We start from the raw sequence: 26,034 nt of genomic DNA on the forward strand, positions 1-26,034 counted from the left end.
CTGCTGTCTAAACTTCCAAGGGAATGGTGTGGGCACCCCAGGAGGAAGGGATGCCCTGACCCCGCTGCATAGTCGAGGGCATGGAGAACCCATCCGACTGTGGCCTTGTGGCCCATCCCCATTCTCTGACGGGCTCATTGTGATTTTCAGCCACTTGCTATTTGCCACTCAGAGGCAAAGCGGCTGCAAGAGGTAGGAGAAAGCAAGAGACTCCCTCACCTGGAATAGAGCATCCACCGCGATCCCAGAAAAGACAAATCCCGTTGCAGGCACTTCAATCCACACAGCAGTCCTGGGATGAGGGTCCTGTTACCATCCCCATTTCACAGATGAGGAAACTGAGGCACAAAGCATGAAGTAACTTGAACGTGCCCAGAGTCACACTGCTAGCAAGGAGCAGAGCTGGAGTTTAGGCCCAGGTGGCCTGACCTCAGAGCTTGTGCACTACCCGCTGCCTGGTACAGTCCACAGAGAGGGGGCCAGTGCCCGGCCCAGAACCACATGCCCTGGGGCTGGAGACAGGTCAGGGCAGCCGAAAGGTGGAGCGCCCTCTCCAGCACTTCTTCCTCACCCCCTGCGGCTTTCTCCTGTGCTCCGACTGCCACCACTTGCTTGGGCAGCCAAGCATGACAAACTGGCCAGCCACCAAGCAGGACTTTTCAGAGGAGGAGTAAAAACCCTTGTATGAACGTACACTCTTCTTGTCACACACAAACGCCCTTCCTTCCACCTTCAAAGGTGATTCTGAGACTGCCCGTTTTTATCTTTGCTTCAGTTGTGCTTGATTTACAGCCTCCTGAGGTGTTTTGTTTTGTTTTGTGTTTTGTCTCTGTCACCCAGGCTAGACTGCAGTGGCGCGATCTCAGCTCACTGCAACCTCTGCCTCCCGGGTTCAAGTGATTCTCCTGCCTCAGCCTCAGCCTCCCAAGTAGCTGGGATTACAGGCACCCGCCACCACACCTGGCTAACTTTTTTTGTATTTTCAGTAGAGACAGAGTTTCACCATGTTGGCCAGGCTGGTCTCGAACTCTTGACCTCAAGTGATCTGCCCGCCTAGGCCTCCCAAAGTGCTGGGACTACAGGCATGAGCCACGCGCCCGGCCTCCCTGATGTTTTTAACTAACATTGCTAGTGGTTTAAGTTGGGCACCGACAAGTATTAGAACGTAATTGCAGAGGTCACGTTGTTTGAACACCGGAACTTCAAGGCGTGCTTGAACCACCTGATCAAAGGAGAAGGGACTGAGGACCAACAGGAGTGGGGCTAAAGGCATCCTTCTGCTCCAGTTTCCTGTGAACCCGCTCCTCTGAGGAAAGGAGTAGTCCCCACGGAAGACACAGGATCCTTCTGGGGGTCCTCCTTGGCCACGTCACACTTCCAGACTGTGTGGCGGGACACTGACCATCAAGCCGACAGACGTGGGTTTTAAAGCTACGCCTTAAAATCAGCAACTCCCTTTCCTCATGAATATTTTAGTGTGTAATATAGAAGATGTTTTTACACTGAATTAAAGTGCCTGCCACTGAATCTTCCTGCTGGAATTATGGGGGGTGGGAGGAGATGGAAAAAAAATCAATGTTTCAAAGCAGTCCTGATGTGCTAAAAATATCTCTCACTTCTCCTTTCATCTGTCTGGTCATTGTCCCAGACGCAAGCTCAGCACAGCCTCGCCCATACAACATGTCGAATCGCTGTCTACCTCCACTTCTTAATCGGACAAAGAGAGAATATTCTTTTTTTTTTTTTCCTTCCTCAGACATTAGTCCAAGATTACAGACTAGGATATAGCAACCTATTATTCAAGAACAGCTTTTAAAGGTAGCTGCTTCAGACTGGCACTTCGGGAAAACTTTGAAAGTAGACTCCTTTTTTTTTTTAATGCTTATTTTAACTATAGATTGGTGATAACGATTCAACCCCAGAGATCCAGCTAACTGTTGGCACAGAAATCCTTAACGCTACTCTCAAGCAAATAAGATCTTGTAAGGGGAAACTCCTGCAAAATATACCTTGTGAACAAGCTGCTCGCACCTCCTCTTGCAGCTGCAAAGATATTCTACTCTATTGCTTAACTCGTGACCTTGAAAAAACTCCACCTTTCCTGCCAGCAGCTCCACTGCATCCACCTGTCCCTACAGGTAGTAAAAGATTAGACAAAACAGAACCACGTTTACACAACACACTTCCGAGCCTCTCTTCCTTCTAGCCCCTGTCCCACCCCCACTCCAAGGTCGAAGTTCATTTCTTGCAGGCTTCACTTTTCAGGATTAACCAACACTGTGCTTTTTCATTCTGCTCAACACCAGTCCTTTGGCCTCACAGTGCTCGCCTGTGTGGAACACGCTGCAGCCACCAGGTCATCTGCTTTAGACCCAGCTCCATGTCAAGTCCTGTTACGGTCCCTCGGGCATATTGTCATGCTCCTGGGCACCTGAAAACTGACAACTGGTTTCAAATTTCTTACAATTTGCTTTTCTGGTCTATCCTTATTTATTCCCCTCACAGTGACATTCATAGGAAGAGGAAGTAGCAGGCAGTCTCTTGGGGACGGGTCTCTCCTGAATACCTGGGGGGATGCCCTGGGCTGGGGAACCTCACAGGGGCTCATCAAGAGGTTCCAGGAGACAGAGTTCGAGACCAGCCTGGCCAACATGGTAAAACCCCGTCTCTACTAAAAATGTAATAATCAGCGAGGCGTGGTGGCTTGCACCTATAATCTCAGCTACTTGGGAAACTGTGGCAGGAGAATTGCTTGAACCCGGGAGGCAGAGGTTGCAGTGAGTCGAGATCATGCTACTGCACTCCAGAAGTGGAAGTAGCCACCACACAGCTGCACCTGCCACCTCCTTCCCCACTCCAGGGCCTTTGAAATGTGCTGCTCTCTCTATGCCGAGAGCTCTCACCCCTACCCCCTGCACCCACACATTCCTGCTCATCCCTTAGCTGAGACCTTGGAAATCACCTCCTCAGGGGACCACTGGGAAGAAGGTCCTTTTCATCTGAGTGCCTTCCCCTCAGGGCATGATTTTTCTTGGGCCATTTTTTTTGGTATGTGTTTACTTAGGTTCCATGATGACAGAGACCATGCCTTTGTTTTCATCACTATCGTCTTCACCTCACTGCCAACCAGTGCCTGGCACACAGTAGGTGTTCAAGAAAGTTTTGCTGAATAAATGGATGAACAATGACATCAGCCTACTTTGACCTCTTGAGTTCCTCTGATCTCTGAATGTTCTGGAGCAAGGACCTTTAACAGCATCTCCATCTCTTCCTGGCCTTGCCGCCCCACCCAGTAAAACCATAATACTTGCTGGTATAGCCTCTTCCTGCAAATAAAAGTATACAAGGAGTTCAGAACGGACACTCCAAACAAAGGGATTTATGACCTTGGTCTCATGTTCTCTTGTGGTGGTAAAATTCACTTTTCTATGAAATTAAAAATTCCTCCCTTGAACAACATTGCCAGAGGTCCCCAGAACAAGGCAAAACTGGGTATTCAAAACTTTTTAAGTTTAGGAAACGCTGCCTGGAATCTCTATTTCTCCCTCCTCTGGTTGCATTCTATTCCTCAGGTTATGTGCTTCTGAAATTCGTATCTAGCTCTGTGCCCGAAGATGCTTCCAGCTCGCTTGCTTCCCCTGCTCCCTGCTCCCCGCAGGCCTGCGGAGAGCACCGCCCCAGTCTGCTATTAAGATCTGCTCAACTGTTTAATTGCACAGCCCGTCCCAGCAGCAACCTCTCCACAGCCTCTCACTTGCCAACCAACTGGCCGCCCACTCACATTCTCTTGCCGGCTTGCTCACTGCCCAAACACACACCCCTCCCCCCAGTTCATCTCTTACCCACTCACACAACGAAGATCCGACTTATCCAATTTGCTGACGTACTTTACCTGAAGCCCCACCCACCCCCCTCCACTTTTCCAGAGTTCTACCCACAAGAAAAGGAAAGCAGCCGGCCCGGTCTAAATACAAAAGATTTACTGTCAACACCTTGAAACTTGGAAAGGGTCCATTACATGCCAGCATCAGACTTTTGGTGGAGAAGCGCGGTGGTGGGGAGGGTAGGAAGATGCTGAGAAGAAAAGACGAAGGGGAAGAGGGAGATGAAAATCCATCAGTCCTCCCTCTGAGTCTAGTTGGCCAGGACAAGGACGACACAGGACTTTTGTGAAAGATTCTGGAAATATTTCAGAGAGTTGCCTTGAGAATATCCACATGGCGGTACATAGGGCATAAAATCTGGGTTCGAAGACCTGAGCCTGAGTCCTGGCTTTCCACCTGCTAACCACATCCCTGCCATCAGGGCAGGCTGATGTTTCCTGGTCAGTACAACAGGGCTGCAGAAATCTATTTTGCAGAGTTGCCGGGAGGATCAAATGAAGTTATGTGTGTGAAAGCATCTTGTAAACTGTAAACACTAGACATGGTATACATTAGTTTTTGGTGTTACCCAGTAGGTCATTTCTCTCTCTCAAACATTTATTCTCTATCATGTGTCCGGGTGTTTATCCAAAAGTAAACACTGATCATGGCATCATGATTTTGTTTTGTTTTATTTTGAGACGGAGTCTCGCTCTGTTGCCCAGGTTGGAGTGCAGTGGCGCAATCTCTGCTCACTGCAACCTCCGCCTCCCGGGTTCAAGCAATTCTCCTGCCCCAGCCTCCCGAGGAGCTGGGACTACAGGCGTGTGCCACCACACCCAGCTAATTTTAGTATTTTTAGTAGATGGGGTTTCACCACGTTAGCCAGGATGGTCTCGATCTGACCTTGTGATCCACTTGCCTCGGCCTCCCAAAGTGCTGAGATTACAGGCGTGAGCCACGGCGCCCGGCCCTAATCATGGCTTTTAAGGGGTCAATGCAAGCCAGGGAAGATGGACAAAAAGAGGAATTACAGAACACAGTATGACACATGTACAACTGGGTAAGCAGAAAGGGCTGTGGAAGCACCCAAGGGGCACCTAGCCCAGCCCTTAGGAGTCAGCAGAGGCTGCCTGGTGGAGGTTTCATCTGAACAGGTGCTCTGAAGGGACAGTAGCCATTGGCCAGGAAGAGGGAAGGAAGAGCTTCCAGGCAGAGGACAAGCATGATGGGCTTCATTTGGCTGCACCAGAGATCAACAAACAATGGTAAGGATGGGGGGAGTCCTGAGAGGTAAGACCAGATCATGAAGGGTGTCTTGAGCCCTGTCAAGACATGATGAGGTCAACCAAGCAACAATAACATCACAAGACAACAGGTTTCTTTCTGGGTCCTGACAGTGTATGTAAGTTATGCGGCTTGAACTTACTGGACGGCATTAATGAGCTTCTATTCATGTCTAATAAGGAAAAAAGAGGGTTCTATCATGGGTTATGCCACATTTGTTTTTCTTGGTAGTTGGGACAGTTGCTTTGTTAATTGCCTTTTTTGAACATACTCTCCTATACCCACAGCACATTTGCTGGAGTCATGGGGGTGGGGTGTGATAATCTGCACTATTCATGAGCTGTGGCCAGGTGATCCAGCACAAAGATGCCCAGCTGTGGGGAATACATTCATTCTTCCCTAACACATTAAAACCACAACCAAGGAAAGCTGGCTGAATAAAACTGAGTGGCCCCAAGGATACAAACACCTCCAACACGAGTCATTTATTTATGAAAAGTGAATAGGATACAAATTAAAAGCTTGGGCGCAGGAGCCAGACTGCTGTGACTTGAATCCTGGCTCCTCCATTTCCAACTTCCCCCAGCCTCAGTTGTCTATCTGTAAAATGGGTCTCATAGTAGGATCTGCCACACAGGATTGTGTATTAAAAGAGATAATCAATATCGAGTATTTGGCACAGTGCCTGGCACATGGGGCTCCCAACACATGGTGTTGGTGGTGTTCCTATTTGTTGTTTTTCTCTTGTAGCAATGCTGAATCCAGTCTGCTCCCACTTACAGTTTACATGATGGAAGAATTAGAGACTTGAACACAGAAATGAATTATCCCTGTTAACCCTAACCCCAGAACATTGAGGCCACAGGAAATACAACCGCAGTGACCTGGACTTCTGCGTTAGTCATGATCAGTACGTATTAGGTCACAGCTAGTCTACGCTTTATCACATGGTGGTGACATTCCAGTTTCATATGAGAGGGCTCTCAGTTAAGTAAGTGCACTAAAAATGCATACTGGAAAACACCCGTGATCTATCTAAAACATTGTTCCAGTGCCCTCGTTTTTTTGTTTTGCTTTGTTTTTTTAAATCCCAGAGAGCAATACCATAAAATATTTCATTAGACCTTTTTATTCAAGATCCATCTTAAAAAGTTGAGGCTGTACCTCAAATATCTTTTATTTTCCTTGCTGACTTGTTACATGACCCCCACTGGCCTGTGAATATATCCAAAGATTTTTCTGTGTTTTAATCTGAACTCACTTTGAAGCTATTTATATGTTTGGCATGGTAACACAATGGAGGTAATAAACACCATGCAGGTCTGACTCAGCTTTGAAAGCAGCTTTCTGAGTGACACCTTCCTCAGGATTCCCTGAGCTAACTTTATGGGATCTGGTAAGTAACTTCATATTCACTCCATAGCACTTACGATCTCCCAATCATTTCCTGCAGATCTAGCCTGGAAGCTAAATTTTAAAACTAGCTGTGAATTTAGAAGATGATTCATAAGCTCTGTGCATACCATGGTTATGACTGGTGGAAGGCAGAGATTCTTACATCAGTCTTCTTTACATTTTAACAGCAAGGAAAATAACAGGTTAGAGGAGTACTTTGTATCTACCCTCCCTTGCTTCCGGCAAATTAATGAAAGCCAAATAAATTGCAACACTTTGATATCTGTGTCTCTGTAACGTTAAAGACAGCCCTGGGCTGCGAGAGATGAACGTGGTAGAGCACCTCCGGGCCAGCTTCCCAGTGGAGCAATGGTATTGGAGAGGTGGACAACGTGGGGAGGCTGAGGGAGCTAGATCTTCGAAGGCAGAGAACAACACGGTGTGTCAGGCAAGCCACAAGCTCTTTTTGCAGCATAAAAGCAAGAGGGGAGAGTGGCAGGGGAAAAACTCAGGTTATTTATTTTTTTTTTTTTTCTGAAAACCACTTGCTGAAATAGAATGCCTCTTCTGAATACTGATGTCATTAGACTATCAATTTAGGTTATATTAAATTTTTTCAGGATAGCTATCCTTAAATTTCAAAGCATTTATTGGCCAGGTTTCTAAAGTGTGATAGCATCATTCACCAGGAAGCAGGGAATTTAGAATCGAGGTGACACCGGACCACAGAGTGAGTCTCTGGTGTAGAGGCAGGAATATGCTCAGTAAGGTAGCTCGTCAGCCGTAAGGCTGCCCAGGAGTGAGGCTTCCTCTGCAGGGTCTCACGGGTGCCTTCTCATGCCTTTTACTGGAGCCATATCTAATGACTTTAAAAGGTTAACCCTGGATCTGTTCTGGTGAACTTCATCCATGTTTGTAACATCCTAGAAAGTATTTATTCTGAGAAGCTGAAAAACAAAAAAAGATCTTCCCAGATTTCTGAAAATGGGGTGGATACTGACCTACATTCAGTGTTCTAGATTAAAATCACAGATTTTGGATAGAGAAAGTATTCTCTGTAATCTAATAAAACCAACTTTTTTTTTTTTTTGAGAAAGAGTCTCGCTCATGGCCCAGTCTAGAGTTGCAGTGGCACGATCTCGGCTCACTGCAACCTCTGCCTGTCGGGTTCAAGCGATTGTCCTGCCTCCTGCCCCAGCCTCCCAAGTAGCGGGGATTACAGGCATGTGCCATGACGCCCAGCTAGTTTTTTGTATTTTTAGTAGAGGGGGGGGGTCTTGCCATGTTGCCCAGGCTGGTCTTGAACTTCTGACCTCAGGCGATCAGGCCATCTTGGCCTCCCAAAGTGTTGGGATTACAGGCGTGAGCCACCACGCCTGGCCAAAACCAACATATTTTATGGATAGGAAATTGAGGCTTAGATGGGGGGGAAGAAAAACATTACACAGATTAAACCACAGCTAATGTCAGGTGGTGACCAAAGCAAGTCTTTTATTGCAGGCTGGGTTTTTCCATGTGGCTGGTTGTATGCTGCACCAAGAGGCAGACACAGTAGGCCAGTTTCCTGTGCAGACCCAGCTGCAATCCCATCTCTAAGCCAGGATGCTATTAGGTCTCAACAACCCATGGGAATTTAGGGTGCTCATGATTTAGGCTGGAAAGAGGTGACTAAGCTCCTTGATCTAAGGTCTATGCAACTGGCCACTCACTGCGGACCAGGGACATTCAATGCCAGACAGCGGTAGGGCTGGTCTGGGGCGGCAAGCCAGATCCTGGGCAAAGCAGCCTTTCTGCTAAGGGTTCCCTGGCAGACCACGACGATGGCCTCTTGCAAATGTGACCTGACGGTGGCAAAAGTCTTCTTTCAAAGCCCATTCCTAGGGCCTGCTCTTTCCCCAGCACTGTCCCCCAGGAAGCCCCCTTGCTAGCCATATTCATAAAGTTAAACGACTAAAACATGTTTTGGAAAGTAGTTTCTCTTGGTATTTTAGTGTGTTGTTTACTCTCTTACTGTACTAACAATATAAATTGCTAAAGGCTTCCTGGAAATCAAAACTGCAAATTAGAGAAAAATAGGGTTAGAGAAAATGTCTTTGATAGTCCACTTTGAAATTCAAATAATGATTTGAGAAGTTTAAGAATTATTACGTGAATAGATGGTAAAGTGACAGAATATTAATTATAGAATCTAGCCAGTGTATTTTTCATAATAAAATATTGGAAAAAAGTATTACCGCATCTTCTGTGCATACCAATATCCAACAAGTTCATGGGCTCCTACCGCTGGATATAATAGCAAAAAGTCTTGAAATATAAAATAAAGGAAGCACCACAAATTAAATAGGGAAAGATACATGACTCAAAACATGATGGGGGATTTACTTTGTGAAACAAAGTCCATTTGGATCTTTGTTTCACACTTTTTTTTTTTTTTTTTTTAAAGACACAGGGTTCTTGCTCTGTTGCCTAGGCTGGAATGCAATAGCATGATAATAGCTAACTACAGCCTCAAGCTTCTGGGCTGAAGTGATCCTCCCACCTCAGCCTCCCAAGCAGCTAGGACTACAGACACATGCTACCATGCCTGCCTAATTTTTAAATTTTTTGGTAGAGGTGGGGTCTCACTGTGTTACCCAGGCTTGTCTTGAACTCCTAGCCTCAAGTGATTTTTCCACCTTAGCCCCCGCAAAGCACTGAGATTACAGGTGTGAGCCACTGTGCCTGGCCACATCTTACTTCTAATTTGGTGAGTTTAATGTTAAAAATGAAACTTTAAAAAAAAATAGATGAATATTTTCTAACTTCTGGGTAGGAAGGAATTCCTAAGCCTGAGGTAACAGAAGTTACACAGGAAAAAAAAAAAGATAAAATAACTTACTCCACTACATAAAATATAAAGGTTCTCATGAGAACACATGGACACAGGGAGCAGAACATCACACACCAGGGCCTGTTGGTGGGTGGCGGACTATGGGAGGGATAGCATTAGGAGAAATACCTAATGTAGATGGTGGTTTGATGGGTGCAGCAAACCACCATGGCACGTTTATACCTATGTAACAAACCTGCACGTTCTGCCCATGTATCCCAGAACTTAAAGTATAATAATAATAATAAAATAAAGGTTCTGTATTTCCAATAAAGTATAAGCAAAATTAAAAGTCAAAGAAGCTGGGAAAAGTATTTACCCCAAATATCGTATACACACACACACACACACACACATCGTTATAAATATATCATAGAAACAGTCACACCCTAGTAGAAAAGTTGATAATGGACACGAACAGAACATTTACAAAAGAAAACAACAGGCTGATGCACACAAGAAGAAAGTTCAGCGTTACTGGTAGAGATGAAAACATGCCACATGCCTGACATGGAGTGAACATTCATTAAATAGCTTCTGAGTAGATGAACCAAAAAGAATGTAACCTTTTTGTCTAAAGATAAAAAAGAGAGAACACTCAATGCTGATGAAGATATGGAGAGAAGGACATTTCATACTTTGCTAAAATGTGCAGAACTTGGTTCAAGCTTTCTAGAAAACAATTTAGCAAGGTATATCAAGAATCTTACAGTTAACCTCCTTTTACTCAAGAAATTCACTGTAAGGAATCTCTCCTAAGGAAATCATTAAAAATATGCCCAAGATTCATGTATTTAAAAGGTTAATTACTATAATAAAAAATAGTTTTTAAAAACTGGAAGCAAATTAGACACTCCCAAATTAGAGAATTAGCACCATTAGAAATATTTTAAAGGCATTTTAAAGCATAGGGAGAACATGCCTGTTTTAAAAGTGGGATAGAAAGTGTCTATACAGGCCGGGCATGGTGGCTCAAGCCTGTAATCCCAGCACTTTGGGAGGCCGAGACGGGCAGATCACGAGGTCAGGAGATCGAGACCATCCTGGCTAACATGGTAAAACCCCGTCTCTACTAAAAATACAAAAAATTAGCCGGGCGTGGTGGCGGGCACCTGTAGTCTTAGCTACTTGGGAGGCTGAGGCAGGAGAATGGCATGAACCCGGGAGGTGGAGTTTGCAGTGAGCCGAGACTGCGCCACTGCACTCCAGCCTGGGTGACAGAGCAAGGCTCCGTCTCAAAAAAAAAAAAAAAAAAAGAGGAAAGTGTCTATACAGGCTGGGCGTGGTGGCTCACACCTGTAATCCCAGCACCTTGGGAGGCCGAGGTGGGTGGATCACCTGAGGTCAGGAGTTCGAGACCAGCCTGACCAATAGGGTGAAACCCCGTCTGTACTAAAAATACACAACTACCTGGGCGTGGTGGCGCGTGCCTGTAATCCAAGCTAATTGGGAGGCTGAGGCAGGAGAATTGCTTGAACCCAGGAGGCAGAGGTTGCATTGAGCCGAGATTGTGCCACTGCACTCCAGCTTGGGCAACAAGAGCGAAACTCCATCTCAAAATAAATAAATAAATAAAGTACCTATACAGAATTATGCTGATTCTGCAAATTGTGTGTATGTAGGAAAATGCTGGAAGGAAATACACAAAACCCTAATAGAGCTTTGAGGATTAGAGGTAATATGTGGAATCTAAAATAGTCAAATACAGTCCATAGAAACAGAGAGAGGTGGTTGGGGGGATGGGGAGATGTGGGTCAAAGGGTATAAAGCTGGAATGATGTCAGACGAATACATCTAGAGATCTGCAGTACAGCATGACCACAGTGAAGATACTGAATATTTCTAAGTGCATTTTAGGTGGGCTTAACACACATGCACAAAAAGGTAACTGTGAGATGGTACACTCACAGCTGGAGTGTAAGTTATTATTTTGCTTTGTACATGTTATATCAAACCAGCATGTTGACACCTGAAATATATATGATAAAAAACAAAGGAGGTTTTATTACAAATGAGTCAGAATAGAATGAAAAACACCATATAAAAAATTAGAAGAGTGATCCCCTGCTTTGGAGACAGGTCTCACTCAAGTCCTTATCCACATGGTGCAACTGCCCACTGGCTCTGTCTCTGCCATTGACTCTGTGTACTGACATGTCTGAATGCCACCTATCCCCCCTCACACCTGGGCCCCACCTGTCCCCCCCTCACAGCTGGGCTTCCTCTTGGACTGCATTTTGTGGTGAATGATGCCACTTGATAACCCTGGCCACTCTGCCTGCGTCACCCTCCCCCATTTCTCCCCCGAATCCATCACCACCTGTGTCCTGACCAAAGCTTTCCATTTGGCCTCCTTGCCTCGATGGCCTGTCCCACACCCGCACCCCCTCGAGTCATTCTCTTCACTGCAGCCCGCCTGGCCTTTCTGAAGTGCACATCTGACTTTTGTCAGGATCCTGGGTGGAAATCTTCAGGCAAGCAAGGCGCGGCATTCACACCTCTGTTAACAAGCACTGCCGAGTCTGCATCTCCCATCACCCCTTCCCCACACACACAGGTCTGCGCCTCTGGACAGGCTGCCCCACCTGCCTCCCATCCAACTAACTCTGTCAAGCCTGTCTATTGGGGTCAATTGTGACTTTGCCTCCATTGGAAGCTGCGCGGGGTGGCGGTTGAGTGTCACAAGCCCTGCGCATGCTGTTTTTATGCTCCCATGGCACTCATTACACACTGTGACTCTGTTTTTGTATCTTTGTCTCCTCTACCAGACCGTGAGCACCTAGCCAAGTAGGCCCTCAGGGTTTGTAGAATGAATGAATGAATGTTTCCACCACCCCAGCAGACTTATCTGCTTTCATCCTGAAAGAGGTATCAAACCAAGATTTTGTAGCTTCCCCCAGTTAGCTGCTGAAGTATTATATCATCCTCACAAGTGAGACAGTCATCCTTATGTATTAATCACCCAGCAAATTCATGTATTATATACCGTCTGTCATGACACTATCGCTGGTTTTATTTGAACCTACTTACTCCTGCTAAGTCTCTCACAGGAACCTTACTCATTATCACTAAACACAACGATCATCTCAAGTACTGTGCACCAGGCAGAGCGGAAGGCCCTAGGAATATAAGGATAAACCAGACTGTTACTACTTAAAGGCCATTAGCAAAAAATCCTCCAGCCTTGTGTGGAATAAAATCCTCAGTTGCCTTATCTTTTCCTGGAAGGGCGTGTAATTTCTGTTGCTTGTGTATCAGCTTTTCACAATTGTCCAAATTCTTTTTTTAAGTGTGACTCAAACAGGACACAATGATGAGTCTGACAAACACACTACGTCTTGTTTTCTTACCCTTCTATGTCATACTCCTTTTAATACACCCAAGAATCATGACTATTTTTTTCCCGCAACAGCCTCACAGCATTGACTTTAAGTTTAGCTGATGAGTGATAAAGGCTGCCATTTTTTAAAAAACGATGTTTCTTTTGTACTCAACCATGCTATTTTAAATCTATTCCTACTACATTTCTTCTGCTAATGTAGAATCATTTTTCTGCTTTGTTATAATTGTTATGAATTATACTTCTGGAGTTGAGATGATTTTGATTCCTACCTAATGTGGTAGCGTGCACAATAGAAAAATGAAAAGAGATTTCATAGTTTTATATTGTGCAAAAGGCAGAGACAAATATATGTATGAAAACTCTGCCCAACTGCTTAATATTGAGTCTTCGGCCCTCTACCTGAATTCACAACGTACTTTACAAATACTCGTGGCTACATGTTGAGGGATTCTGGGCTATCAGTTTGGAGACTCTGGTATTAACCATGCTCTTTATTTATTATTAGTCATGTATTTTCCCCACCCTTTGTCTTTGGCTTTGCACCCCCACCTAGCAACCACAATGACTTCTTTTTGACCTGGATGGCTCGTCTTTTTACATAACAGTGTTTCCTGGGAAGCTTAAGAACAGCAGAGTCACAGTGAGGGCTTAGTCCAGGGCAGCCTTCTTAACGTGGGGTACATGGATGTCCTTCTTTGGGTCTGTAAATGGGCAGGCACATGTTTGCATACAGGTGTGGGAAAAGGATTCATGGCTTCCATCATAATCTCAAAGGGATCTAGCACCCTGGAAAGGTTAACAACGCAAACTCCCAGGCATTCAGACACAGCACAGCACAGCACAGCACAGCACAGCACAGCACAGCACAGCACAGCACACTGAATAAACAGCCCCAGCTTGCCTGACTCAACCTTCTACTAAGCCACCTCCCAAGAGAGCAAGAAATTCTATAGTAATTATACACCAACCATCTTCTGGAAGGCAACTACGCTCACCACTGTACCACCAACACGCCAAACATCTTTTGAATAATGAAGATCATAATTTGAGGGTGTGATTTTGGGGGGGGATCTGGCATATATGACATTATATAGAGGCCATAATCTAACACTTTAAATATCAAAGCTATCTTTTCTCGGTTTCTGCTTTTATCCATGTTTTACGTACTTTCTTTGTCCTCTTCTGATACTTTTAGCTTATTTGATAACCCTGGTTGAGAACCAAAGCATCATGAATCACAAGATTCTCTACATATTAACATTTTGTTAGAAGCTCAAAGCACAAGTCTTTCATTAACTGTTGATCATTATATTATTTTTGCCAGAATATACTGGTGCCTTGTACACTTGAGTTTTAATAGCATTACAGATATCATTTTAGTGTACATATGTCAAAACCAAAACTGCCTTTATGTCAATATGCTGCAAAAATCTATCAGAATATATCTTAATTCTTAACTTTCATTGTTGTCTGTGGGTTGTCTTTTATAATTATTATCACATCCACAGTATTTTCTGGAGGTAAATATGAAATGTATTATAAACGTACTGGGGGAAAATGCTCTTTAAAGCGTTTCCCTAGACAAAGCACCATTTAGGTGTTAGAAGCAAGAACTAGTGAAATCAGAAATTGCTGTCATACATACTCACCAGTGAACGGGCGTACAGAGGATCCCCAAGCGCAGGACTTGTCCTGGAAGCAGAGGATTGGATTCCATCAGGAAAAGAGGCAAGTAGAAACACCAAATGCTGGTGCTCCCTTTCCCCAGCTCATCTTATTTGCAGGCACACAGATTTTGGAATCCTCCAGGACTAACAATAAAAACCACACTAGGTTGTTTTCCTAATTCCTATGAAATGAGTCAGTAGGTCAAACAACTTATCCACTCCAGAGAGAGAACAATTCCTTGAGCTACACTCCCTGTTTCCAGTAACCCTATTCCCTGTCTGTGCCCCTGGATAAAAGTGCTGCCAATAATGCATGGAGAGCCCACCGGGTTCTGAATTAGACACATCATAGAGATTGCCAGAAAGTTAGTTGCCTTCATGGGATAGTTTCCCTTATGAATATTTAGGAGGAAAAAAGTCCAGTTAAGAGTAACATGAGGATCAAGTTTCTTCATTTAAAGAGTCAGCATAACTTTTTCTCTATCGAGACCATTTCTTTCTTTCATATAGGAGGACTGAATGATGCTGAAAATAAATATAGAAAAGCGATAACTGTACCTTTAAAAGCCCCCACAAACCACTTCCTTCTGTAAAACACCCTTTCCTCCTCCAAAGGTCTAGTATATTCACAAGATTCACTGATTATTCAATGAATCCATATTCTTAAAAACCCTTCACAGTTGTCTGTGCGTCCTGCAGTTCCATACTCTGTATCATATAAAGCAGAAGGTGTTTAAGAGCTTGCTAGCCGTCATTTAAATCCATGACTCAAGACGACCAACACTGGGTTACCAATAATCTTCAGAAAGTACCACCTACTCACCGAGTGTAACATTTCTTGTAGTTAGCGACCTCTGCTTAGGAAATCACCAGCTCCTGGCAATGAATCCATACTTCCAAGAACTCACACATTCAGGCAAATATATGGACATACAGCTCTAAATATAGATACAGAGAGGTCTGCCGTGACAGTTCAGTAGGAGACTGGAAATACTTTTGCTTTCTGTATCGATAGTACTTTCTTTCCTTTTTAAAGAGAAGGTTTCGTTTTGATCTTGAGAAATTCTGATAAAACCACCAACTGAAAACCTGCCATTATAAAGGAGGGATTTCACAACGTTCATTCCAAAAAACTGTGGCTATTCATTTCTGGAAGTGATTCACTGCAGAAGAATCGCTGTTTGGGGGTGGAGGGAGCGTTGATTTTTAGAAGCCAGCCTGCCCTCTGAGAAGTGAGCAGCAACCTCTGAGATGGCAGCCACGTGCCTTCTGACCCCCAGCCCTGCTCCCTGAATCACCACCCCTCGAGATGACACGCAGTGACCAATTTCCTCTTAAAACTCCCTTCTGTTCAAAAACCCTATGATCCATGCACCCTCTGTCTAATCCTCTGCGATGGGGCCAGTCTGCAGATCCGTCTGGGCGGGCTGCGGTAGCATTCTCCACCTGCCAACACTCAGTTGCTGGTGAGTAACCAGCATACGGACTCTCACTTCCTGTGAGTATTTCTGAAAGAGCTTATGATATTTCCTTCAAAAAAAAAAAATTGTGGGGAGGAAAGCCACTCGGGGAGGAGAAGCAACTTCAACAAGCAAAGCTAAAAGCATGCAACGTGATCACTGTTGACCAGACACGCCTAATTTTAATTTGGTTTCTCAACCCCTGTGTAATTAAGACAGCCCAAAGAGAACAGCATCAAGAGGAAAGAAAAAAAAAAAAGACATTTCACAAATGCTTAGACCTTCGGTGCGCGTGACCAGAAAAGTAATTTTAAGATTCAAGCGAACCAATCTGAGGCTGGTTGGAGCATTAACCCTTCAAGGAAAGAGAAAGAATTATTTTTGTTTGTCCCCAAATTTCAAATACGGAATTCGTCTTCCCTACCAGGAACTGAGATACCAAAAATCAGCCTCTAAATACCATCCTCTGGGCTTGTAAGATGAAAAAACTTTTTCAGATTTGTCCATCACAGGGGTAGAAAAATACCTATTTATGAGACCCAGTCACATTAACAGAGCAGCCGACATGGTGTTCACACTCAGGCACCCTTTGAAAACCGGCCACTAAGGCTAAAATGTGACATTTTGTATTTCTCTAGGCTGTAGCCAAACCTGTTAATTTATGTTAGAGAGAAGGGCAGCATTTCTTGACAACTGGGCAAAATGAGTAAGAAAACTTGCTTTCATCCCACCTTACAGAGTATCAATGGTGACAAAGCTCACTTTCTGAGATTAGTAGACGTTTTGCTGAAAGAAAGATTTTTCAGAGCCTGTCCTTCAGCTTCAGGCTGTGAATGTGCTTCCAACTTGGGGCCTCCATGTGCCTGCATGGTGGGGAGGGGGGCTCTTGAAGGGGGAAGGAGGAAAATACAAGCTTCTACTTAATGGGCACTGAAGAATAAAACAAATCACCCACATTCACACCTGTATTTATCACACAATCCATGGAAGCCCTTAACTTGAAACACGGCAGCACTTTGCCACTTAGACCCCAACTCTTTTATTTCACATTTTTGGATGTGAAATTCTGAAAGGGAATTTTCACTTTTTTTTTTTGTTTGTTTGAGACGGGGTCTCACTCTTGTCGCCCAGGCTGGAGTGCAGTGGTGCGATCCTGGCTCACGGAAGCCTCGACTTCCTGGGATGTGATAAGCTTTTACCATCTTTACCAAACTGATATTTTAACAAGAAGAGTATGGAAATCATTTGCCTGATATACATAATTGATTTATTTATTTATTTTAGAGGCAGGGTCTCACTTCATCTCAGCCTCCAGAGTAGCTGAAACTACAGGTAAGTACCACCATGCCCAGATAATTTTTTTTTTTTTGGTAGAGATGACGCCTTGCTGTGTTGCCCAGGGTGGTCTCTAATTCCTGGCCTTTAGCAATTCTCCCGCCTTGGCCTCCTAAAGCACTGGGGTTACAGGCATGAACCACTGTGCCCAGCCTGCATGATGTAATCTCCAAATTGAGGGTAAGTAAAAAGTAGCACCTATAACTAGAGGTAAATTTTTAATTTAAAACAACTACACTACGCAATAGTCATCTCCTCAGCCCTTGCCCACGAGATCTTATGAACCTCCTCAATAGAAAAAAAGGAAGTCTGTGATAGGATCAAAGGAACAGGAACCCTTTACATGGAGAGTAATTTTAAATAGCTACAATTTTTGAGCTTGTCCGTTGATACCGAGCTCAGCAAAAGAAAAAGCAGTGATTACAGGCCTGACCACTACTCAATGATTAGAATATTCACTCTTCTCTATTACTTAGAAGGAAGCCCCCCTCTCCCACTATGTCAGGTATACACACAAGTTCACAGCTCTCAGTGTTTCTGTGTAATTTGTTCCTGTTTCAGACAGCTTTCCAGAAAAGCTCCTCTTAAATCCTGGGTGGCCAATGCAGAGGTTTTAAAAAGAGGAAAAGTAGAGCAAAACAACAAAAAGATCATGAAATAGAAGCTTGGGGAGAAGGGAGCAAAGAGAACATGAATCTAACAGATGCAGCAGTTGCAAAAAAGCTGCTATCCTTTAGAAACTCCTGTTAATTTGGTGACCTAAAGGGAGCTATTTCTAAGGCTGGATGTTGAGAATGTGATGAAACCATGGAGGCTGTCCAGGTCCTTGCTATGCTGTGGACACCATTCAAGAGTTATAGAGTCCACCCTCTCCAAACAAAGTAAAACCCCGTGACAAATGACCTTCATGTTTAACATTTACTCAGTTCTCTTTTAAACAATGAAATGGAGCGCACTCTTTCGTGGCACTTTTATAGGCAGGAGAGAGAGTGGTCTCACAACGGAAGGGCACCAGCCACTGAGAAGTCCTAAGGCCGTGTTTGAGTTCTGGCTCATCTTTTTTGCTAATTTGCTCTTATGCATATCACCCAACCTCGCTAAGCCAGTTTCATCATCAGCGAGAACAGCACACTGACATGCAGGGCCAGCTCAGGCGCTACCACAAGCTACACATCCGTCCATTCGTTTAATCTTCACAGCAGCCCTGGAGGTAAGTTCTATTTTTAATCCTCATCCTACAGATAAGGAAACTGAGGCCCTGGGTGCTTAAGGACATGCCCAGGGTTACACAATCAGTAGGTGGTTGAGCCAGGATTCAGAGCCAGGGAGCCTGACCTTGACTCCACATCCAGAGCCTGCCCTCAGCATGTCTGCCAGTAACACCCAGGTTGGCTGCACAGCAAGGAAAACAGCATATAAGAAACTACCTTAAAACCTACAAAGACCATAAAAACACAAGGTAGATTTTTAATCATGTCACATGCAAATATATTGTCTGTAAAAATGTAATGAAGATTCAGGACAACGAAGCAGTGGTAACTCTGCTGATCCTGTGAAAACAGTTTCACATAACTTGCAAGTTACTTAGTTGCACAATGTGTGGTACCGAGTTGTAGAGGTAGAAGGGATTCAGAGATCCTGTTTTCCGTCAGGGTGGTTGGGTGAGGCTCCCAGACACAGGGCTGAAGTCTGAACCTTCATCCTTTCACTCCCAGCCCAATGATGTGCCACTGTGTCATAGCCACATGGTGGTTATGAATGCATCTGGAACTCCACATTTTAATCTGCCAGGCATCCACCCATTCGTTCACATAATTCACGTGTGTGTAATAGTAACCTTCAGAAAGGAATGTCACAATATTTTTCTCATTACAACATCTTTAGGCTTTAAGATGAAAAGGGTGAAGAAAGAAATCTTCTCTAAATCTTGTATTCCCGCTATTCATTTTTTTATTCAAGGAAAAACAAAGCCTCTGTTAAAGCTCTGCTTACAATGAAATGTAACTGAAGTTCTATCCAATTCTTTCCTCTTCTCTGTAAACTTGTTCACATGCAACAGCCTCTCTGATGTTAACAGGCTGTTCCTCCCAAGTGCCTGCAGATCATGGCTATAGGAGTCACTGGAAGGAACTTGACTCGGTGGCAGTTTGGAGGCTTCCCGGGCTTTAATGATGAAAAATGATTTGGTCATTTAAGACAGAGCCCCCCGCTCTGTTGCCTAGGCTGGCGTACAGTGGCGTGATCATAGCTCACTGCAGCCTCAAACTCCTGGGCTCAAGTGATCCTCCTGCCCCAGTTTCTTGAGTAGTTGGGACTACAGGCGTGTGCCACATCTGGCTATTTTTTTTTTTTAATAGAGAAGGGGTCTTGCTATGTTGCCCAGGCTCGTCTTGAACTTCTGGGCTCAAGCAATCCTTTCACCTCAGCCCCCCAAAGCAATGGTTCACAGGTTCAGAGGTATGAACTACCATGCCTAGCCTAGCTATTTACTCTTAAAGGAAAAAATAATTTTTTATTTAGTTTTCAAGCCTTTCATGCTATTTACACTAAAGTTTGGCCTTATTATTTTTGCTTAGAATCTTTTAATGGTTTTAGGTCACGTTGGGTCACATCAAAACACTTGAAAATGCCTCTTTCTAAAACAAAGACATTCGTTGACAAAAAAAAGTTAAAAGAAAAAAGACCAGCCAGGTATTTAGTTCCATTTAAGAGAGCACAGGCGACTGTATGCAAGATTCTGGAAAATTTATGTACGTTAAATTTATAAGCCAGCACTTTTTTCCCAAAGATTTATTTGGTGTGAAAAGTTACTTCCTGTACTGTAATCATAAAATCAACTGTTATTTACTCCTGTCATAACCATTCACATACTTCCTGCCATAAAAACTTAAACCTGGCTAGAATATTAAATAAAACATGCAAAAAACTACAAGTTCAGGAAGTGACTGTATGTATTATATACATTAAGTTCATATTCCAATCTAAGAGAAAGCTGAATCACCCCTACTTAGGAAAACCAGTATTATGTTTTATCATCTGGGGTGACTAATCCCACAATGGCCCGTGCAGTGAACTTTAAGGGTAAGAAGGGCTTTCTCTTTTGCACTAAGCTCAGTCCATAGTTTTGTGGGGGCTGTCAGGACGTCTCGCAGGTCTGCCGTGTGTAGTGGGCTGAAATACACTGTACATGGCCCAGAGTTAAAACTGTAAAGATCCAAAGACTTACTTAGGGTAGATGTGCACACTTTAAATGCATATGCAGGTTTTTCTTTGGTGCCTGCCTACTTCTAAAAGAAAACAAGCTTCTAAATGCTTAGGCTTTGGCGTGTCGGGTGGGAAAATCAGAGCCAGTGTACACATCCAATGATAGAAGAAAGCGTGCGTGAACAGATTTGTTTACAAAACAGGGCCCAGCAAAGTCTGTCTCTCAGTGCCTCGGCAGGATCCATCCAACAAAACAAACACACAAACACACTGATCTAGGGAACTCGCTCTTCCTTCTGATGAAGGTGTAACAGTTTGTGATTATAACTGGGCAGTAAGTTACAACATAATCACCTGACCCAGGTTTGAATTGGAGATACGCCAACAAATCCAGTTTAACACAAGTGCGTGTGCGCACATGTGCAACACACACACACACGGTTATATGTAGTACAGTGGTTTCAGCTCTCCTTCTGTGGCATTAATCTCAAATCTGTATCTTTAATGGTAGCTACCTCTCCTACCTATATCTTTAACATATTTCTATCTGGATAAGGCAGTCCCTTTAAATTCATCATGAAGCAAAAAAACCAACACCATTCTACTGATTTTACTTTACTTAACTGTATAGCCATCCCACCAGGGTTGAAAGTTTGGCCTCTGGACTCCCTTCTTCACTGAGCCGAGCTGAGCCATTCTGTCACCAAGTCTAGTCAATACTTACTTTCAATGTCTGCTGCCTCCATCCTCTCCCTCCCACTCCCATTTCCAGTCACCCAGGATGCACCTTTCTCTCTGTCCTTGGACAAGTAAGACAGCCTTTGTAATTGGTTCACTTGCCAAGGAGCAACTGGGTGGTGAAGAAACACAGCAGGCAGTAGGAAGGTTGGGTTCTAGGCCTGGCTGTGCCAGAACCAAACCATGTGATGCCAAGAAAGTACATCATATCCTTGGGCCTTAGTGTTCTCACCTATGCCATGAAAAAAATGGCTATCAAATGGTATTAGCTGATGCGGGGCATACAGAGTCCCCAGCTGTGGTCTTCTAAAATGTAGTAAAATTCATGTCGCTGCATTCCTCAAAACTTTTCTGTGACTTTACAATGTCTAGAGGATGCAAGGTTGGTTTTGTTACTCTACATAAAAGATCAAGAATCTTAGGTTCTGTGAATAGCACACTCAAGGTTATAGAACTCAGTGAAGTGTCAGGGGTGGCTTCCAAATCTACATGTGGTTGATTATAAAGCCCACTAAACCATACTGAGTACTTTAAACACAACATAATATTTGGCAGGGGGTGGGGATTCATTACTCGAGTAATCATTATCTGAATCCCTGTAGTTACCAAGTTGCATAAGGAAGCAAAGGTCATCATCATATAAAAATATTGACAAACACAGTGATCACTTATTATTAGTCCTCATTAACATCAGCATCTATTCTTGCTCACTTTCTTGGTTGAATAATGTCATAGAATAAAATGAAAATCCAATGTAGCTCACTTGTAAGGTGGAATTGCAGATTTTCACACAGTTGATAAAAATGATACCAGCAAACTGCATGAATCACATAGGGTCACTGACAAGATGAAAGACAGTTTCAACAGTTAACAATTGAAGAGAAAGTCAACAGAGGTGATTACATGAGAGGTAGACTCTTCAAGAGAATGGTTTGTATATCAAAAGATTAAGAGAGGCCTTTGGGGAAATTCGAATGCTTGTACAAAAATCATCTTCTTTATATGATTCTGCTTTAGAAGTCAACATTCAATCTTTCTTCTAAGAAATAACATGCTGTTGCATCATATCCCAAATTTCTATTATATAAAACAAACTAAACTTCAACTTTAGTTTTATTTTTTTCAGGACTTAGTCCCAATAAGATCTTTAAAAAAAAAGTGACTGTTTGTTTTTAAATGTGTGATTCAGTTTTAAGTCAATCCTCTTAAAACAGCAGTAGTGGTCCTGTATCAGTTATCTTCAGATAACAAGTACCTCCTGAAATGGTAGTAATAGCAAAAAAAAAAAAAAAAAAAAAGAAAAGGATTAACTGATATGCAAGTAGCAGAACTAATTCTTCAGCCCACGATGGAAATAATGTCCTAGTTTTTCTCTCAAGATCTCAGGCTCACCCGGACCAGAGCACTCAGCAAGAAGCTATGCTCATCACCCCCATGCCCCATTCCCACCACTGTATCAATGCCACTGTGGATATGACATTTGTATGGTATTAGGCCAGACCCTGGGCAAGTCTGACTGTTGAGGCAAAACGAGACTGCAGCCCTGTAAACCCTCAGTCTAAATCCTAACTTTACATAATTCACCCCATCCATTCTGTCTTTATCCAGTCCTCTGAAGATCTCCACTTTTTTTTTTTTCAGAAGACAAGAGTCAGGGACCTGGAAGAATTCTGTCGTATAATAACCCACTTTTAAAAGGCACCCCTGTATCACGATCCTTCCTGACATATACCGGTGTATATATCAAATGGTTTTGGTTCCTGCAAATATTCTTCCATCAAATGTTCAGAGAAGGGCTATTTTGAGAAAGATTTAATGGGATTTGTAACATAAAACCTCAAATGAATACTGAGTTAACTAAGACAACTCTGGAACACAAAGCGTGGTTGTTATAACCTTGCTTTTTCTGGTGACTATAATTGAATCCAAGAATCTAATAAAATAGTCTCTCATGCCAGAAAGAAACCCAAGAAGGTATGTCCTCAGAAAATTTAGTCTGAAGTTGGTCAATTCTTAGGCAGTCACTCTACGTGATCAGAACTTTATTAGTGAGCTTTTGGCCTTGCAGGATTGATGTTTGCTACAGAGATCTTGGCTTGCTCCTAAGGAGAGTTCTGTGACACTGTGAAATAGCCCCTTTTCTCTGAAAAGCATAAGGTGTTACTCTTCATTGAGAAAATCCTAGAGTTGTGATCCACGCATTATACTTGTGAGTCTTTCTCATGTGTGTGCAAAACATACACACGTTCAGTAAGGCACGGTGCAAGATTAATATGTTCACATACACAAGAGCCTTTCTGGAATTCAGAAACCTGAAATTGGGGAATGGCGTGAGCCGAAGTGAGACAGGAAGGAAGAGGTGGCAGTTCAGCAGTTTTGAACTTCTGACTGTGATTCCGAATCCTTTTTTAAAAAAGGATTTTGTAGCACTGACCCCAAAGGCAGCACAAACACGTTGGTGAGTGTGCATTAATCGAGGCCATTGAGGATGTTATTTTCTCCTTTAAGACCCTGACCAGAAGCTGAATATGCCAGCAGCAAATGCAGGCAGTGCTGCTGTTCCCTTCACAGTCCTCGGAGGCAGTGAAGCCTGTGCTTGAGACGCGCAGGGCGGAGTGCTTGTTTTGGAGAGCATTCAGCGGATAGCATTTGGTTTCCTCCATTTAACCAGGTCACCCAGGCATGGAATGCACAGCTCTGCCAGACAGAAAGCGCTTTGGATGCCTGAGAAACAACAGCTTGTCCGGGCTACTGATGCGAAGAGAGGCCATGGTTTCCTTTTTCTCTGCTCTGAATGGCAGCCTTGACGTCACAACAGCTAGGAACCACTGGAGGGACAAATAACAAGGCGCAAGCCAGAAGCGCCCTGCTCTGTCGCAGGGGCAGGGCCATTTTCATCCAGTTCTGATGTCTTCTGTGGCCGCTGCGAGTCGGCGGGAGTAGAGACAAATGACTGGAGCTTTAGGCGTAAAGGCGGTCTCTCTCTAGGCTGATCAAACAGCCCTTTGCCCAGTGCTAATTGCCTTCACGGAACCTGGATAAACTACAGTTCCCGAATTAAACTTGTTTCTGATGAACTAGACTTCCCAGGGAATGGGTGTAGTGATTTTGCTGATGGTTCAGACATCGGCACTTTCCCTGAAGGGCTCAACTTCCTGTGTTTAAAAGCAGACCTAACAGGGGCTGGCGCATAAGCATCCCGGGAAATACAAGAAGCTCATGAAAGCAGGCAGCCTTTGCAAGAGACCTGACTTATTTTCTAGGAGAAAAACATCCTTTTAGGGATTTTATAATTTAAGTTTAAGCAATTAAACATGTGCATCAGTACCCAACTGCAGGTGTTTGAACAAATGAGGGGAAAACGCTCAGAGGCTGCCAGGCTTAACTCACCATTATCTAAAATGAATTGTCTGTGTAAGTCATCACAGCAGTTTGAAAAGCATGATCTTTCATGTTTCAACCTCACATCAAAATTCTAAATTATATTTAGCTATGTGAGTGTCAGATCATTTGTTTCCATTATCAATGCGATGTTGGGCAATTTGCAGACAGGATCTGAAAGCATCATCCATGACTTTCATGGAACAGAAAAGAGCTTTCTGTTGCCACAGATTTGCCCTAAGTTCAGTCCTCTGCCTTTGGAGCACTGACAGCTGTCACCAAACCCAAACCCCAGTCTGAACCCATAGTGCTCAAGGTACTTTGGGAAAGCTAATTCAGGAAAACCACAGGCTGGAGGGGTTGTCTTTGAGGTGTGTATGTGTGTGTGTGTGTATGCACATTTGTTGGCAGTGTGTGGACTGAGCACAACATATAGAGAGGCAGTGTTCTCAGGACTTCTGTGCTCCTATTTGGAAAAATTCGGCAGAAGAAACAACAGCTCTGAGACACTCAGCCCCTTTCATCAGCTCTTTCTTTGCTTAATTAAATACACAGTTCCCCCCAAAGCACTCTTTCCCTGAGGTCATAGTGTCAGTCTTGTTTCATGAGAATAATCTGCTATGAATATTTACTCACTTTCAAAAACAAAAGAGGGTTAAAAATCTGATCCAAAATGTCACTTACGACACCTACAACAGAATCTACCCCTCTGCCTCCAGGCTGTCCTGACAACCCATGTCCTCAACAGGAATCTGCAGTCTGTTCTGGAATCTGGTCTTTGGACTCAAATGATCTTACCTGGGTAGCTAACAAAGTCTTCTGTCTTGTTCCTGCTGTTAAAAAATCCAAGTATGTTCAGGCATTAAACAATGGAGAAGATAAAGCAAAAATAATTTTTTAACTACATCTTTCTTTTTCAAGTGGTGGTTATGCTCAAGAGGTGAAATTTATTGTGGCCCTACCCCTGTTTTTATAAGAGCTTTTTATAGTATAAGAACTATAATTAAGTTTCCTCTGAACTGTTTTATTAAACTTAAGTTTTCAAGAAGAGAATGATAAAATTTCTTAAACTACTATGTTTTCAAGGGGAGGACAATTTATTTTTATTGTTCTAGCATAAGGAAAGAGAGAATGAGAGGGAAAGTGTTTTTTAACCTGTATCCTGATTAGAATTTTTTAATGTTCAAATTCCTGATTATAAACTGCAGTAAACAATCAGTCATTCATTAACAAGCAACTATTGAAAAGGCGATATTTAAAAGAGAAAAAATAAAACATGTGATTAAAACTCTACACACGTCTTCACTTCAAGGCAAACGCAGTGGCCATCTGGGTATTTAGAAGGTGCCAAATATCATTGGGATCTAGATTTAATTCATGTTATAAAGAAAGCACTATATTTAATTTGTTCACAAAAGACCTAGAACCTCGTAGAAATGATGGTGTTGAAGTGAACTTTTAACATTAAAATAAGGTCTTTATTTTACAATTT

General features: G+C 43.4%; 2 long non-coding RNA genes across 6 annotated transcripts in view, besides 11 other annotated features; one reads left to right on the forward strand and one right to left on the reverse strand.

Moving 5' to 3' along the window:
• The window catches only part of LINC-PINT (long intergenic non-protein coding RNA, p53 induced transcript), a 232,364-nt gene that overhangs the window by 20,142 nt on the left and 186,188 nt on the right, over positions 1 to 26,034 (reverse strand). For 3 of the 5 annotated variants that reach the window (NR_110473.1, NR_110472.1, NR_034120.1), the window contains exons 1-2: positions 15,248 to 15,607; positions 14,407 to 14,449 (exon numbers count right to left, since the gene is read on the reverse strand). The exons of 1 other annotated variant lie outside the window; for it this stretch is intronic. This is a non-coding gene — a long non-coding RNA (long intergenic non-protein coding RNA, p53 induced transcript). Of the gene's footprint in view, positions 1 to 14,406; positions 14,450 to 15,247; positions 15,608 to 26,034 lie in introns of those variants that run through there. One more of the 5 variants, NR_170175.1, reaches the window with a different exon arrangement.
• Positions 2,087 to 2,381: an enhancer, noted in NCBI's record as "tiled region #2521; HepG2 Activating DNase matched - State 5:Enh". NCBI's record gives its function as "activates a minimal TATA promoter and a strong SV40 promoter by Sharpr-MPRA in HepG2 cells {active_cell/tissue: HepG2}" and the evidence as "EXISTENCE:reporter gene assay evidence [ECO:0000049][PMID:27701403]".
• Positions 2,087 to 2,530: a biological region, named in NCBI's record as "Sharpr-MPRA regulatory region 2521".
• Positions 2,327 to 2,530: a silencer, noted in NCBI's record as "fragment chr7:130584789-130584992 (GRCh37/hg19 assembly coordinates)". NCBI's record gives its function as "represses an EF-1alpha promoter that drives an FKBP-Casp9 reporter gene in an ReSE screen in HepG2 liver carcinoma cells {active_cell/tissue: HepG2}" and the evidence as "EXISTENCE:reporter gene assay evidence [ECO:0000049][PMID:32094911]".
• Positions 5,689 to 6,888: an enhancer, noted in NCBI's record as "BRD4-independent group 4 enhancer chr7:130588151-130589350 (GRCh37/hg19 assembly coordinates)". NCBI's record gives its function as "activates an origin of replication core promoter dependent on BRD2, P300/CBP, MED14 and CDK7 cofactors, and independent of BRD4, by STARR-seq in HCT116 cells {active_cell/tissue: HCT116}" and the evidence as "EXISTENCE:reporter gene assay evidence [ECO:0000049][PMID:35650434]".
• Positions 12,959 to 13,492: an enhancer, noted in NCBI's record as "OCT4-NANOG-H3K27ac hESC enhancer chr7:130595421-130595954 (GRCh37/hg19 assembly coordinates)". NCBI's record gives its function as "activates a minimal SCP1, AML or CMV promoter by ChIP-STARR-seq in naive H9 embryonic stem cells {active_cell/tissue: H9 hESC(naive)}" and the evidence as "EXISTENCE:reporter gene assay evidence [ECO:0000049][PMID:30033119]".
• Positions 12,959 to 14,026: a biological region, named in NCBI's record as "OCT4-NANOG-H3K27ac hESC enhancers GRCh37_chr7:130595421-130595954 and GRCh37_chr7:130595955-130596488".
• Positions 13,227 to 13,521: a silencer, noted in NCBI's record as "tiled region #8443; K562 Repressive DNase unmatched - State 5:Enh". NCBI's record gives its function as "represses a minimal TATA promoter and a strong SV40 promoter by Sharpr-MPRA in K562 cells {active_cell/tissue: K562}" and the evidence as "EXISTENCE:reporter gene assay evidence [ECO:0000049][PMID:27701403]".
• Positions 13,493 to 14,026: an enhancer, noted in NCBI's record as "OCT4-NANOG-H3K27ac hESC enhancer chr7:130595955-130596488 (GRCh37/hg19 assembly coordinates)". NCBI's record gives its function as "activates a minimal SCP1, AML or CMV promoter by ChIP-STARR-seq in naive H9 embryonic stem cells {active_cell/tissue: H9 hESC(naive)}" and the evidence as "EXISTENCE:reporter gene assay evidence [ECO:0000049][PMID:30033119]".
• Positions 15,020 to 16,219: an enhancer, noted in NCBI's record as "P300/CBP strongly-dependent group 1 enhancer chr7:130597482-130598681 (GRCh37/hg19 assembly coordinates)". NCBI's record gives its function as "activates an origin of replication core promoter dependent on BRD2, BRD4, P300/CBP, MED14 and CDK7 cofactors, with strong dependence on P300/CBP, by STARR-seq in HCT116 cells {active_cell/tissue: HCT116}" and the evidence as "EXISTENCE:reporter gene assay evidence [ECO:0000049][PMID:35650434]".
• Positions 15,761 to 24,243, forward strand: LINC00513 (long intergenic non-protein coding RNA 513). The gene is made up of 4 exons (NR_109780.1): positions 15,761 to 15,922; positions 17,259 to 17,399; positions 18,197 to 18,429; positions 23,833 to 24,243. It is a non-coding gene; the product is annotated as a long intergenic non-protein coding RNA 513 (long non-coding RNA).
• Positions 15,964 to 16,023: an enhancer, noted in NCBI's record as "active region_26658". NCBI's record gives its function as "activates an Ori minimal core promoter by ATAC-STARR-seq in GM12878 lymphoblastoid cells {active_cell/tissue: GM12878}" and the evidence as "EXISTENCE:reporter gene assay evidence [ECO:0000049][PMID:35858748]".
• Positions 18,218 to 18,327: a silencer, noted in NCBI's record as "silent region_18651". NCBI's record gives its function as "represses an Ori minimal core promoter by ATAC-STARR-seq in GM12878 lymphoblastoid cells {active_cell/tissue: GM12878}" and the evidence as "EXISTENCE:reporter gene assay evidence [ECO:0000049][PMID:35858748]".

The sequence above is a fragment of the Homo sapiens genome, chromosome 7 (assembly GCF_000001405.40).
Source record: "Homo sapiens chromosome 7, GRCh38.p14 Primary Assembly".
Taxonomy (NCBI): domain Eukaryota; kingdom Metazoa; phylum Chordata; class Mammalia; order Primates; family Hominidae; genus Homo; species Homo sapiens.